General features: G+C 39.5%; 2 protein-coding genes across 16 annotated transcripts in view; one reads left to right on the top strand and one right to left on the bottom strand.

Moving 5' to 3' along the window:
- The window catches only part of NME9 (NME/NM23 family member 9), a 68416-nt gene extending 65861 nt beyond the window's left edge, over positions 1 to 2555 (top strand). For both annotated transcript variants that reach the window (NM_178130.4, NM_001349021.2), the window contains one exon: positions 1405 to 2555. In NM_178130.4, the coding sequence (NP_835231.1) occupies positions 1405 to 1451 (47 nt within the window). In that variant the 3' untranslated portion in view covers positions 1452 to 2555. The remainder of the gene's footprint in view (positions 1 to 1404) is intronic.
- ARMC8 (armadillo repeat containing 8) overlaps positions 1 to 15749 on the bottom strand; it is a 111142-nt gene that overhangs the window by 34399 nt on the left and 60994 nt on the right. For 13 of the 14 annotated variants that reach the window (XM_006713565.3, XM_024453441.2, XM_011512632.2 and 10 more), the window contains one exon: positions 170 to 252. In XM_006713565.3, coding sequence (XP_006713628.1) covers positions 170 to 252 — 83 coding nt within the window. Of the gene's footprint in view, positions 1 to 169; positions 253 to 4855; positions 5040 to 15749 lie in introns of those variants that run through there. The other variant, XM_047447902.1, reaches the window with a different exon arrangement.

The raw sequence follows: 15749 nt of genomic DNA, 5'->3' as shown, positions 1-15749 counted from the left end.
GGGTTTGGAGGCCAGGCTCTCTGTTAGACAATGTTATATACTCTATGAATTCACCTGAGCAGATTTTTGAGGAACATTTGTAGTCTGTGTTTACTCAGTGAAGGACCAGAAAGGAAACAGGTTAAATATATGGCAAAAGGTTTTTATTCAGACCATTTAAAGCTCATACCTGACGGCAGCTAACCGCACCTTGACACTAGACTCAGACAAGCCAGTCACAATTCGGTCCATCATATTTTCAGTCTCAATGATCTGGAGAAAAAGGTTAATGCTGCATAAATAACAACATGAAGGTGACAAACTTCACTGCTTGTAAATGCAAGTATGTTAACATCCATTAAAAGTTTAACGTTGTTTTTGGCAAGAGTTTTTACCTCTCAAACAATCATCTTGCGCTGGGGGCGGGCAGCTCATCAGAAAGGTAGGTCTAGCCCACTAAGGACCTGCCAGGCTGAATGACAGGCGTAAGGGGCAGGTTATGTTGTTTATTTTTAAAGACATTTAACACAAAAATTAAATGGTATAAGTACTGCAGAGGTGTTATGTAAATAATCTTGAGAAAAAGGAAAAGAAATAAATGAACTCTCATTGGGCAGGTTCCTTCCAGAGTGAGGTTCTAAAGAAATCACAGTCCATGCTCAGCCCTCACAAAATGAAATCTGGGCTTAGGACAGAGCCACCCTGTGGCTACTTTCTTACCAACCGACTGAAACTTTTAGAAAAGTAACCCTTGCCATCTTTCACTATAGCACGAAGTGCTGCTACATATAATCACTATAATCATGAAGCTTTATTGTTTCAACTTAAAAATAAGATAACCTGCAATTTTCCTTCATCAATGTCTAGATACAAAATAAATAGTGTGTGAAGGAAACTGAATTTGACTTGTGTGGGCCTATTGAAAAACAGCCTTTTCATATTAGAATAAAGTACTCATGACATCACAACACAAATATTAACAAACACATTTGTTGAGTTCTTCCATGTGCCAAGCACTGTGCTAAGCATGTTATATTACCCAATTTAACCCTCACTCTTCTGTAGGCATTATTCTGGATAATACAGAGCTTTCCTGTAATCACACAGCTGAGATACGTACCCAGGCATGTGACTCCAGAGTCTATATGCTCAGCCACACTTGTAATACAGCCCTGGTTAAGGTAGTCCTCTTGTACTCACCAGGTAGTTCCCAATATGGGCAACTCATTAATGGGAGTCGTTACTCTCACCTGGGAGAATACCTAGACCAATAGATCTTAACCTTGGTTGTCCTTGCAGAAGAATTACCTGGGGAGATTTTTTTTTTTAATCCTATGTCCAGGCCATACAGCAGACCAATTAAATTAGATTCTCCAGGGTCAGGGCTAGGCACCTAAATTTTTTTTTTTTTTTTAATCTCCTCAGGTGAGTCCAGTACACAGCCAAGGTTGAAGATCACTGACCTAGACTAAAATGAGAGGATTCAGAAGTCTGACCTTAGAACATGAGAGAGTGGAAAACCTCAGGATGTTTCAGCCAAACAAGAAGAGAAGAAAATATTGTTGAAATTAACAATGATCAGGGAAAATATCATCTATTAAGAACAGGGAACCACATTTTAGCTGTAGATTAGGAATGGTAATTTTTATCTGGTGTTTTAGTTTCCAAAACATTTACATATTGATCTACTCCTCGCCCTAGACCAAACCTAATTCCATTCTTACTGATATGCACAATCACTCTCTGTCCTCATTGTCACCTCTAGCCCCTAAATTCCTCCCTTTCTCAGTCTACCTACTCTTTGTGACTCCCTCATATCTTTTCCCCCTGGCATGGATGTCCTGCTCAGACACTCCACTTAGAAGACAGTTTCCCTTTTTCACTGTCCTCCCACCATTCATTACTCCTCCTCCAGATACCAACTGCTGATGTTGCTCTAGAAAAACCACCAAACATGACTGTTCTTTCCGTGTAAGCTATCCCACCTCAGCGGCACCCTCACTGCTGGTGACCAGCCTTGTAACCCCCTGGAGATGCCCATGTTCCTTATGGTAGCTACCTCTTACTTCAAATTCTTCTGCCTCCCTCATGCTCGCAGCCACTCTGTGCCCACCTCATCTTCGTAGGGACCTTGATTTTGGGGACACACATTGCAACTTCCCACTTCTGACGAAAGGTCTCCATGCTTTTGCTGTTTTCTTTACTCTTGTCAAGGTTGGGTACTTCAAGCTCAAAGCCTATCTACCTTGATCCAAAAACTACCTTTCCATAATGTTCTCACATCTTTACTCTGTCCTACCTCTCATTTTCAATCCTGTTTAAAAGACGTTTAAGTGTCCAAACTTTAACCTCTTGAAGCTAGTCCTCTCCCCACTTTCCATCTTTAAATGGGCATATATACAATAAAGGCTCTGTCCATCTCCATCTCTTATATATAACAATACTGTGACTTAAAAACCAACTCAGTATTGGAAATTTTCTAAAGTTCTGTCCTAGAGTTCTTTCCTGACCTCTAGCTCCATACTTCTGATTGCCTAATAAATATGACATGGATGTTCAGTGGAACTTCCCATCTATTACGCCTCATACTGAATTTGTCCTCCCACCCCCTAGCCTTGGCTAAACCTGCTTGTTCTCTGTGTCTTTCTGTTTTTGCTAACGGTATTTTAACATTCTCCCAGCCACCCAGGCCCTACATTTGTGCTAATTTTGACCCCAACTCTTCCTCCCTTACCACACAAAACCAAAACAATTTACTTAGCACTATACCTTATATTCATTCCTTTCGCATTCCATTAAACTAGTTGGGACCTTATTACTATTACCTTGGGGGTCATAGTAGTGTGTTTTCCAAATTACCTAATCTTCTGTGCTACAGCAACCATCAAAGACTGGCTGGGTTAGTTCAATCATGCACTAGTCACTGTTCTTGAAACAGACAAGGCCAAATCAGTACCTTCAATATGGGAAGGAAACAAAAGCCTAGGGCAAAAGTTTCAGGCAGTGGAGGACTAGATGCTTATGCCTGAAAGATCCTTCTGGCTTGGGAAATTATTTTTACTTAAGAATGAGAAGTGATAACTTGGGAGAAACAACTGCCTGTACTGGATATAGTTACATCATCAGAGAATGTGGTGGTGGTAGAAGTACGGATGGATTGAACACATGGTTACTCTCCAGAAAGAACTGAGAAATACTATTAGCATTGGCTCCAGATGCTTGCCCTGGGTGTGGCCAAGACTTGAAAGAGGTTTCTAGATAAGGTTTCCTGGCTACATTCAATCAAAGATGTAAATCTACCAAAGAACCAGAATGATGTAGCAATCATAGGCATTTAATAAAGTATATCTCAGTATAGCCATAGGTCACAAATCCCTGAAGTTGCTTAGCACCAAGAAAAAGCCTAATTCCACACAAGAGATGTGACAGAAAATTCTACAAGCTTAGTATGGGCTAAAGTCCAGACGGTAGCCTCTTCCCAAAGTCTGGAAGGCTGATATGAAAGAACCTGTGGAAAGGGAATAGGGTGATGATCAGAAATAAAATGAGTAGGTAGCCAGCCTAGTGGGTGAAGCAGGGGAAATGGAATGTTATGGAGTGGATATGCTGTATAATCTTGGGCAATTTACCTCTCTGGGCCTTCAGTAAAATGAGGAGATACAGTAATGATTATTTTATCTCCAATCTTTTGTAATCAGCAGGTGAATAAGGATCATGTTAGTCAGTCTGGACAAAACTACCATGTTGTTTAGAAGGAACTTGGGAAGAAGGCGGGTGAGGAGAGGCTGGAGAATGGTTCAGGTCTACTTAGAGTGCTAAAGGAGAAGGCAAGGAAAAGCAAACAGCGCAATTCCTACTTGCATTTCTATAATTATGTATTCAGCAAATATCTGAGTGCCCAGAGAGTGACAGGCATGGTTTTGAAACTCAAAAACAAAACGGTGAGGAAGAGAAAGCCCTTGCTTCTACCAAACTCACAGTATTGAATAAGCAAACATAATTTAAGTGTTTCAGTGCTATGGTGCTTGATTTCATGGTAGAAAGAACACCTTGGGAATGACAGGGACCATGGGGCCACACACTGAAACAAGTATCTACAAAGGGAAGGTAGGAAGACATCTTTTCTCAAGAACAGGAATTTTACAATCTAGGACAGTGGAAAAACATTAGGGCTCAATCACTGTAACATTAAGAGTGTAGCTTTGCGCTTTCTTTTAAAGTTTCTAGGGGTGTATGGTCCCTGATACTTTGGAGACAGAGTATAGCTATAAGGTGGCTGGTAAACGCTTTCCAAGTCAGGACATAAAACTATCTGGAGGTATCTTCCCCTCAGGCACAAGTTGACCCTTCTTAGATCATAGTCTAACAGAATGTCTATAGCAGAAGGCCTGAATCTGTAACTGAACTTGTAATGGAGATAATTCAGTAACCCTGCTAGGGTTCTAGAAAGCATGCTTGAATCTCTGGTCCACCTTCTCCATCAAGACATCAGTCTGGGAGTGAGAGTGAAAAACAATATAAAATTAGAATGTAAACTTTGAATTCCAAAAGGGTATGGACAATATGATCTAACCAGGGTTTTGCAAGCTTGAGGGCATGGAGACCGTCTGTGTATGGATACAAAGGGCACTATAGTGAATACACTGACAAAAATGAGGACAAAAATGTGATCACAGACAGGAAAAGGTTTGGAATCCAGTCCAGAGAAAAAATTTTCAGGTCAGCAGGGAAGGAGCTGGTAGTGGCTGCTGCCACAGCCCTCTGACCCATATGAAGGTTTAACAGTGCACCAGACAGCTTTTCAAACATGGGATTGGAAAACCAAGAGCAATAAAACATGTCCTCCGTGGTGCCTTTTAACGACCCCAGTACCGTGCTCCACAGCCTTGATATGATGGAGGGTGCCAAGTCCTAGCACCCTGCAAAAGCATCTTAGGTCCTTCCAGGATGTAAGAGCAATGCCAAGTAAAGCTGAAAGTTGTTCTCCCTCATGGTTCTTGTTGGAGACTCCTCGGCCATAGCTCAGCAAATATGCCCTGTGGCATAGCTGGTTGGATCTGCTAAAAAAGAAAAAGAGACAGTGCCCTCTGTTACACAGACACTGTGCCCAGCCAGAAGGGGTACTTGTAGTAGACTGAATCCTCAGAGTGGAGGAGGCCATCTTTCTTCCTAGGCTTTTCTAGGGGCCTGGGCTGTAAACTACAGAATTAAGTAACACAAAAAATGTTGCATCCTCAACTGACCGCTTTAGGTCAATGGATCAGGTATTGTGTACCTCCCTGCTGGTGTCTTTAGCTTTTATGACATGCTTTTGCGAAACTGTCTCTTGCATTGCTGCTCTTGCAGGAGTGGATAAGGATCTATTAGAACAGGATCTGAGCCCCCTGTAATCGGGACAAGACTTTTATGACCAGTGGGAAAGAGGGGCACTCAGTCCAGAGGATCATGGGGAAAATGCAGAATCCAGATAATACTAAGGTGGTGGTTTATGGTATACACAGGAACTCCAACAACTTGAAAATGGGCCTTTGGCTACAAGGGAACTTCCCAGCCCTCCATGACCTTTAGTAGATCCAAAATTTAGTTGTGGCCAGGACATAAGCCATCTTTTCCTCTGAGCACATGAAGAACTAAGAGTCAGAGATATGGTCTTTGAAAAAACAAGACAAACTATTCTTCCAGCTTTATTCGGGATGAAACATTCTTGATACTAGAAAAACTTTAGCTTGGACTTTAGCTTCAACTGTGCTGAAACCAGGTCAACCAAAATATGTGGAAACTGAAACCAGGTAGATTCTCAGTGGTGTCAGCAAACTTCTCAGACAATTCAAAGTGGGTGGGTTGAGGGGGTGTCAAGGCAGTGGGTGGCAAAGTGGGCTCTCTCTTAACATCAATCACTTATGTGAATGTGCATAATAGCCAAGCAAATACAATTTAATTCCAAATAGGCTTTTGTGAAAGTTTCCAGAGAAAGTTTTAATGGATTATGAGTAATAACAAGACAGAACTGGCCAGAAAGAATAAGGACCTGGAATTAAACTCTGAAAATCACAAGCCGCAGTCATTTAATATCTAAGTGGATAAGGTATCAAATCCAGACTCTAGTTAAAGCAGGAGGGATTAAGCAGCCAAGCAGGGTGCAGCACAAGGAGGTCAGGGAGAGAGAGTAGGTCTGGCAAGGAAAAAGGACGTATAACAGAGACTGGACCTGCTGGGTGCGGATGGCAATTTAGTCTCATAAGTGTCAAGAAACACAAGTCCCAGGACACGCACTTGAGTCTTTCCTAGCAGGACCATTTATTTAAGGTCTAGAGTTCCTCACTTAAATTTTTTTTTTATTTTTTAGGAAATGAGCACTATAAACCCAAGATCTCATGTCAGCGCCATCAAGACACTAGTTTTGGAAATGGGATAGAGACTAGGGAGGAAAGAGAAGGGCCATGAGGTAAGAAGGCAGATACTAGAATGAAATAGGCATATACAACCAGCTTATCTGGATAGACTGGGTAGAACCAGCAAGAGTCAGGGGAGAGATCCATTGCCCCAAATGGAAAACCAATCTTTCACTAGGCTTTAGGAAGTGACCATGTGATTTTATAAGACGACCACAGGATACTTAAAGACATGATGCCATATACATCATGGAAATGCTTGAGCACCTAATGTGTATTATTCTTGAGTATATCCTCATACCATTTCTCCTTTATTAAAACAAAGTAAAGCAAAACAAAAACAAACCAAAGACCAAAAAACCCAAATCCAAAATCTCCAACAGTACATGGTATTCCACGAATCAAGTAAGGGCAGTTGCAGTGCTTGCTCCTAACTCAGTTCAACTGGAAAACCAATTCTCTTACTGCATTCTCTTAATGCAGTGGACTTAACTATCTGACAGAACTAAACACATTTGTGCCTGTTCATTTTTAGGCTGAATAATGTTAATATCTGAAGAGGTCTTAGAAATAGTCTTATCTGAGGTCTCTGAAGTTCAGAAAGATTAAGTCACTGGTCCAGTTTCTTCAGGCAAACTGCAGCAGAGCATCCTTCCCCATTTCCCAGGTTTTCTTACTTCCAGTATGAGGTCCTTTCTATTCACTATGTTTTAAGGATGAGATTTTTCACTTAGCCTTAACTAAATTGAGATCTGACTTCGAAAACAGGGAAAGAGGAAAAGAACTATAAAAAATTATCATTGCTGTAGAAACCACAGACTATATATTGATATCTTGGGCCAATAAAGATTAGTATACTATACTTGGCAAGAAGGGGCATCATTAATAAACTGAACAAGAAGGAAAAAAAGGCCGGGCGCGGTGGCTCACGCCTGTAATGCCAGCACTTTGGGAGGCCGAGGCGGGCAGATCACGAGGTCGGGACATCGAGAACATCCTGGCTAACACGGTGAAACCCCGTCTCTACTAAAAATACAAAAAATTAGCCAGGCGCTGTGGCGGGCGCCTATAGTCTCAGCTACTCGGGAAGCTGAGGCGGGAGAATGGCGTGAACCCAGGAGGCGGAGCTTGCAGTGAGCCGAGATAGCACCACTGCACTCCGGCCTGGGCGAAAAGAGCGAGACTCCGTCTCAAAAAAAAAAAAAAAAAAAAAAAAAGAAGGAGGAAAAAAAGATATACTTTACAGGACCTCCCAGAGAGAAAATGACAAATCAATGATTCAGCTTTGGTTGGGGGTACAAATGGCAAAGCTCAGAGAGGATGCCAGCCAGTGAAAAGATAAGCCAAGAAAAACCGGGAAGAAACCACAGAGTTCCACTGACATTTCAACTCATCTGACCTCCATTTTAGAATGAGGATCTAGCTTTAGCAGATAGTAACCAAATGGAACTAACATTCTACTGTCCTTAGCCACAAGTTCCATTCATCTGTTGCAAATAAAAACTGCAGGGTTTCCCATCCATACCCTGTTATGTAATACCTGTGCCACTGCTCCAATGTAAGATGTTTGGACATTTTCCTCTAGCAAAGAATTTTAAAGTAAAAGCCAGTTTTGTTTTGTTTCTTTCTTCTTCTTCTTTTCCTTTCTTTTTTTGAGATGGAGTCTCACTCTGTCGCCCAGGCGAAATCTAGGCTCACTGCAACCTCCGCCTCCCGGGTTCGAGCGATTCTCCCACCTCAGCCTCCTGAGTAACTGAGATTATAGGTGCATGCCACCACGCCCAGCTAATTTTTGTATTTTTAGTAGACATGGGGTTTCACCATGTTGGCCAGGCTGGTCTTGAGCTCCTGACCTCAAGGGATCTATTCACCTCGGCCTCCCAAAGTGCTGGGATTATAGGTGTGAGTCACCGCTCCCAGCTTTTGTTTTTTTCTAAATGAGAAAAAGCTGTTCAGTTTCTCTTAGAACAGATCACTGATGAATATATTACATTCTGGGGTCTCAGTAAACACTTGACAAAGTATTTCTTCCCTCCTCTCACTCTTTCATTGCTATCCACTCCCACATTCATACCAAATTCTTCTAACTCCATGATCTTGAGTCAACAGAAAAATGTTGGCCCTGCGCGGTGGCTCAGGCCTGTAATCCCAGCACTTTGGGAGGCCAAGGCGGGCGGATCACAAGGTCAGGAGATCGAGACTGTCCTGACTAACACAGTGAAACCCCGTCTCTACTAAAAATACAAAAAATTAGCCGGGTGTGGTTGCAGGCGCCTGTAGTCCCAGCTACTTGGGAGGCTGAGGCAGGAGAATGGCCTGAGCCCGGGAGGTGGAGCTTGCAGTGAGCCGAGATCACGCCACTGCACTCCAGCCTGGGCAACAGAGCGAGACTCCATCTCAAAAAAAAAAAAAACAAAAAAAAAAAAAACAGAACAGAACAATGTTTGGGAGGCATGGGGTGGGAGGAAATAGTCTATCTTCTCTCAGCTGGAGACCTAAAAAACCCACCATCTAAGAGATGGTCTGTAGGGCCTCTTTTTGATCCTTTCTCTTGAAGGTACTGAATTAAATCAGCATCTAGCCTCTCCTGTAGGTCTGCCTGCCTGCCTGGGAGCTGGAGCTGTATCACTTCACTTTAGGGGTAGAAGATAAAGAAGAGGGGTACATATTGTGGGCCCATTCTTAAGTTTCTACATTTCATTTTTACTTTTAAGCCTCATGATATTTTGTCATTTATACCTGAGGTCATTTACATCTTTTTATTTTCTTACTAGCTGGGAAAGTCGTTTATGTTAAATGTTCAGAAGAAACATTAGAAGAAAGTTCTAAACTTCTCTACACTTTGTGGAAAAGTGGGAGTTTTCTCTTGAGTCGACTTTTCCTTTCCCCAAAACCAAAGGTATAAACATATTGCATCAGAAATACTTATACTGCAGAAAAACAGATCAATACTTCTATCAAAAAATATTTCTCTATGAGTTCAATTTCATAAAGTTTAGTCATTAGCTTAATGGCAGAATACAGCCTTAACAGCCACTGAATTACACTCTTTTAACACATAAATAAAACCATTATAAATTATGATGCAAACAACTGAGACTTCCATCTGTCTCCTCCTGTTTGCCATCCTGGGCACATGAACGATTCAGTGCCCAGGAATTGTGCAACACAATGCCTGTTCAGCCCCTATCCTCTATATACACAGGCATGCACCCTCACAGTTTTTATTACCCCACAGGTTAGCTGGCTAAATTTTCAGGTCCAGACATATAAAAATTACTCAATAGATAAAGTATAACACCTACAATATGCCAGGTACTGCTTTTACATAGCTTACATTCCAGTGACAACCACTGACAAAGAAGTAACCTATTAACAGATTCAAGGATTTCAAAATGTTGTCTGAAGTTTAATTCTATTCCCATAAAGAAGCTGTCTACAGAATAAAATGCTAAAATAGCACCTTGATACATAATCTGGATACTTCCTCTCTAGAATGAAATAAAATCATATTTAGACAGTGTCCTTAGAAAAACATTTAAAATTAATGCAGAAGGAACACAGATATGGAGGTCCCTCATGTTCTATGGGTCAAAACTTCTGAAGAAATGATTTTAGTATTTTAGAAGGTAAGAAATCTTCCAAATAAACTTCTTTATAAGAGAGGGACTTTTCCAGACTCATTCATAATAGGTTATTTCAATTACAGTCATATCTTAATCATATCTGGGTACACTGTTCAGGGCAAAAATGGCTTTCAGTGTGGACAGACTTTTTACACACATGAGGCTCTGGAATTACTACATAGCAATTTAGTGTCTCATCTCCCTAACTACATTAAACTGTAAGCATTCACAAAGTACATGCCAGTCTTCTGCTTCATTCTGAGCATACATCAATGTTACATGATGAGTGTACAGATGGATTAAAGCATCTCATTACCCACTTAGTACCAAAAGCTATGTGAGAGAAATGGCGTTTTCTGAATCTAATGCTTTGTAAACAGCTAGGACAAACTATTAAGCTATATACCAAGTTCTCTCAGTTTGTAGTATTTTTTTAGGCTAATCATATACTCTTCAGTAAAATTTCTTGCCATTCTATGCCATAATTTGGATCTATAATGGTATTTAACTTAGCATGTATAAAGTGATGTAATAGTTAAAAACATAGGCTTTGGAGTCAGAGAGACTGGGATAAGACAGAGACTCTACTACTTACTAGCTGGGGGGCCTTGGTCAAATTGCTGATTTCCTGATCTGCAAAAACTATCTCATAGGGTGGTATGACAATTAAGGGAGAGAATGTGCTAATGCTTAGCACAGGGTCCAGCACATAGTGAGTGCTCAACAAATGGTAGTAGTTATATTTCTGTTGTATATGGTTTCCCAAACAGATTCTGTTGACTTAAGTATCTGACTTATATGATTTCTGCTTGCCCCATACCACCTAACACTTTATATTTAGCAAAGGCTTAATATATTTGCTTAATAAGTGAACTAGATTTTTTTTTCTCTCAAGCATAGTGAAAAATCTTATTCAGAGAACCTTGCTAACCAATACACAGAACCCAGTAAGATTTCCAATCATAACCCAAAGCCATAGTTTTAATCTAATTTTTCTAGGGTCTGTCACATGCCAAAATCATTCAAACAAGGGAATCAGTATGTAGGAAAGTATCCAGTGACAATGTCTACTGTCAACAATTGATAATGCCTTTCTTCAGAAAGTCAGACAACTGGCTTCTCCCTCTTCTGGTCAGGGCCCTGTTTCTTTCTATATGCCAGTACACACAGGCATATGCGAAGTTTGGTATTTCGCCAAACTGGTTTATGAGAGTTTCTATTTAGGCCGGGTGGGGGGGGGGGGGGGGCGGGGTGGCTCACGCCTGTAATCCCAGCACTTTGGAAGGCCGAGGCGGGTGGATCACAAGGTCAGGAGTTCGGGACCATCCTGGCCAACATAGTGAAAACCCCATCTCTACTAAAAATACAAAAAATTAGCCAGGCGTGGTGGCGGGCGCCTGTAATCTCAGCTACTTGGGAGGCTGAGGCAGGAGAATCGCTTGAACCCAGGAGACGGAGGCTGCAGTGAGCCGAGATCGTGCCACAGCACTCCAGCCTGGGCGACAGTGCGAGACCCCGTCTCAAAAAAAAAAAAAAAAAAAGAGTTTATGGTTAGCTATGCAGTATTAGCACAGGGTGGGCAAACTTTTTCTGTAAGGGCCAAGCAGTAAATATTTTAGACTTTGTGGGACATACAGTTCTGTCACAACTACTCAACTTGCCTCGGTAGTGCAAAACAGTCAAAAGTCAACACATAAACCAACAAGGTCGTACGGCAATATAACTTTACGGACATAAACCTGAATTTAATTTCCTTTTCATATGTCAGAAAATATTCTTCTTTTAATTCCCCCAACCATCAAAAAATGCAAAAATAATTTTATCTTGCAAGCTACAAAATTATAATGTAGGTAACAGTACCCACAGGTTGTAGTTTACCAACCTCTATGCTAGCACTTTATTCATAGGAAAGAGCATAGCAACAATCCCTGATTCTTATCACAATCCTAATCTTTTCAAGTTCTACTATTCCATACATATTTAATTATTCCAAATATTTCATTCATTTCCAGAAAGAATGTTCTTGAAAATCCAACTAAGTCACAACATTTAGATTTACAGATCTAATAAAGATATTTTAGCCCATTTCTTGGTGTATATAACCTCTGTCTTTTAACTAGATAATAAACAATAAACCAACTTGTCCATCATACTTTCAATGGCTTAAGCAAGGGACATACCACAAATAGTATAACACTCAATTTTATATCTCCATTTAATGAAACTATGAAATAAAAATTCATTATTTTATAAATACCTCTATTATATATACAGCATTATCACTCCCAGGTTTGCTTCTTTCAGTATGTTGAAGGCCAAAGGTCTCAATACTGTGGGCAAGTGGCAAAACCTGGTCCTGTCATGGTTATTTCTTTAAAAATACTTACCATTGTGAATGAATGTTGCAAGGTTCACATAAAATTCTTTGGTGGATTTGCTTTAAGAAGGTAACTAACAACTTAACCACAGTTTGAGGCAAGGAATTATGAAATCCGAATGAATTTGCTGCTATTCAGTAGCAGAGCCAAGTCCTGAAGGGTGCTACTTCTGTGGTACCATGGAAAACCTTCAAAATGTACAAGGTGTTTGTTTCAATATGCAGGCTAAGGCTTAGAAATAATCCCTTGCATCTGCCTGATTTCACGGTAGACAAAAATACAAAATTTTGATGCTGTGCCCTTTAAATGCCCATTTAGAATCATTAAACTTTGCAAAATATTTAACAATATAAATTCACGGTACATTTATACTGTTACCCAGAAGATCAACTAGTAATAAATAAAAATGTTCAAAGTGAATGCATGCTCAGCAATCTTTTTTTTTTTTTGAGACAGGGTTTCACTCTGTCACCTAGGCTGTAGTGCAGTAGTACAGTGGTGTGACAGTGTGATCACGGCTCACTGCAGCCTCGACCTTCTGGGCTCAAGTGAACCTCCCACCTCAGCCTCCCAAATAGCTGGGACCACAGGTGCATGCCACCGGGCCTGGATAATTTTTGTATTTTTTTTTGTAGAGACGGAGTTTCGCTATGTTGCCCCAAGCTGGTATCGAACTCCTGAGCTAAAGCAATCCTCCCACCTAAGCCTCCCAAAGTGCTAGAATTACAGGCGTGAGCCACCATGCCCAGCCAGCAATCTTTAGAGACAGCAGAAAGATATTAAGAAAGATTGACCTAAATTTACAAATATGCTTTAAAATCTTACAGCATTGAAAATACAGAAAAAATTACATTGGTTCAAAATGTGAACATATATTTTTGGGATATGGTTTTGTATGAATGATGACTCTGAAGAAATGACATCCATGACAACCATAAGCAGTAACAATTAGGTCATCAAAGTTAGGTAGATTTTGGCCTCCTTACTTTTCTTAAGACATCTATTATCTAAGATTTTAACCAATTATTAATACACTTTGGAGGGCATGCTATGACAATAGTTTTAAAAATTAGTATTTTAAATTTTAGAATAAAATTATAAACAAGACAATTTGTTACCAAGAAATACTCTACAGAAAGAGCCTATGTTTCTAAAACATAACTTCTTTTACTGGAATAAAGTTTTAGAAACTTACAGCATAAAATCACTTTCTTCATTGCAAACCTCTTATTTACACCTTCAATGTTGGTCATCTTTTCTTTTAATATACTTAAAAATATATTTTTTTAATCTCCCAATGAATTACTTAGATATTCTAATAAATGCTTCCATTTATTGAGCACCTATTATGTGGCAGACACTGTGCTAAACATTTTAAGTACATTATATCACGTATTTACAATGATCTGCAGTTGTAACTTCCTTTGCTAGGAAAAAGAGGATAGAAGACAAATTCTTGTTCTTTGCTTTCCTTTTTTCTTCTGTCTACACTTCTCAAAAAAAAATTTTTTTTAATCTCACTCTTCGCTTTCTTCACATGTCATATAAAGCCACTGTGATTGGACAACTTTTTTTCCTTCAAGGAACAAAAACTTAAGAGTTCATGTTTTCAATTCTTGAAAATGTAAAATGAAAAGCATTTAGAAAGTATTTAAAGTAACCAAAAATTAAGCTATTAAATTCCAAATTGACTCAAGGATAGCTCCATGGATAAACATGTCCATTTTAATGGGTTCTAAATACTTCTCTGAGACCTCAGCAAATTCTTACTGGTCATTCCTTACTTTTCTCTGACTTATTGAGGTTTTATTATAAATGCTGAGGTTTAAGGCTATGCCTTGTTGATCTTTATCTCCCCTCCCTGCCTCTCCTTCCCTCTACCCAGTGGGCAATATTATACAATGCAGGTAGTTCAATCAGTCTATGCAGAATTGAGTAACTGATCTTAAAAATCAGACACTAATTGGAAAAATACTTTATATCAGTATATATAACCTTGCAAATAGGTTGATTCCTGAAAGGTTAATTTCTATAAACCAAATCATACTTTTATCCTTAGAAAACCTGGTCCAGATTCACACGTGTGAATGATACAAACTTTAAAAAAATCATACATCTAGAAAGATAAAAACTCTATATTTTCTAATTAAGAAATAATGGTCAAAATTATTTTGAAATGAAGCAAGTACAATACCATAAAACATGTTTTCTTTGATTGATAGCCAAGCAAGCAGAAGACAAGCCCTCAGGATTGCCTGCCTCTTGAAAAAATGGGAATTTCCTGCATTTTTCTCTATGCTAAGTATAACAGTGAAACCCCTGACTATATGACCAGAGGTATATTTTCTCCATTTCAAATTTCCTGTCTTTACACACAGACAGAATTGCTAGTGAGGTTAGGAAAGTTCCTAATGCAGACAAGAGCATATAAGATAATGGGTGCTTAATAATGCAATATTGCTCATTCATCCATTTGTCTGTGTGTTCATTTTTTCATTCATTCATTCATTCATCAATTATTTATTAAGTGTCAACTATGCACAGACAGTGTTGTAGATGCTGGGAATACATTAATGAACAAAACACAAATAAATCCCTGCCCTCATGGAGCTTACATTCTAGTTCCTCGAAAGAAATCTCCAGCTAAAATATACGTATTCAAATTGAAGCAGAAAACTTTCCCCAAGGCTCCATTAGTCAGGTGCCCCAGGGGAATGAAGGTTACAATACGTACTTAACATTTGCAATGTGTTTACTTTTATCAAAAATAAAACCAACATCCTGGTTAGTATACCAATTTCCTTGAATTTTAATTTACACTTTACTTCTAATTTCCCTTAATTTTCACTAACATTTCTAACAAGTTCTACTAGTTACTTGAAGAGTAAGAGAGGATAATCCTTTTTCAACTTCCAACTTAACTGGTGATCGACAGGTCCTAATCAAGTGATGGTCTTCATAACAGCAATTATTTGTCATAGAAGAATCTATCTCAAAATTACAGGATTGTTTGCCACTGCTGCCTCTTCTGACTTAATCACTGACTGGGGATGCCAGTACTTGAAATAGTTTGTTGATCTATTTTGCTTCGTATCTTAACTTCTTCCATTTTTAATATCCCATTAACTGGACTTCTGCTTCCTAATCAGCATTAATATATGGTAAAGGCTATCATTAGAAACTAGATTTTCCTTTTGGCAGAGATGAGAGCTAATTTTTACTTGGCATTGCTGTCATTGCAGTTACTGCTAATGTGTTCTGGACCCTTCTTCCACTGAGCTCTCAATTCCTGCCTATGCTCTTACTCTCTCTAACCAAAATCCATTCAGAGTCAGGATCAATTATTACAGGTAGCTTGAATTCTTCTAAGTTTA

Source organism: Homo sapiens, chromosome 3 (genome assembly GCF_000001405.40).
Source record: "Homo sapiens chromosome 3, GRCh38.p14 Primary Assembly".
Classification (NCBI taxonomy): Eukaryota; Metazoa; Chordata; class Mammalia; order Primates; family Hominidae; genus Homo; species Homo sapiens.
Note: the sequence above shows the minus strand (reverse complement) of the source record. Positions and strands in the feature narration are given on the sequence as shown.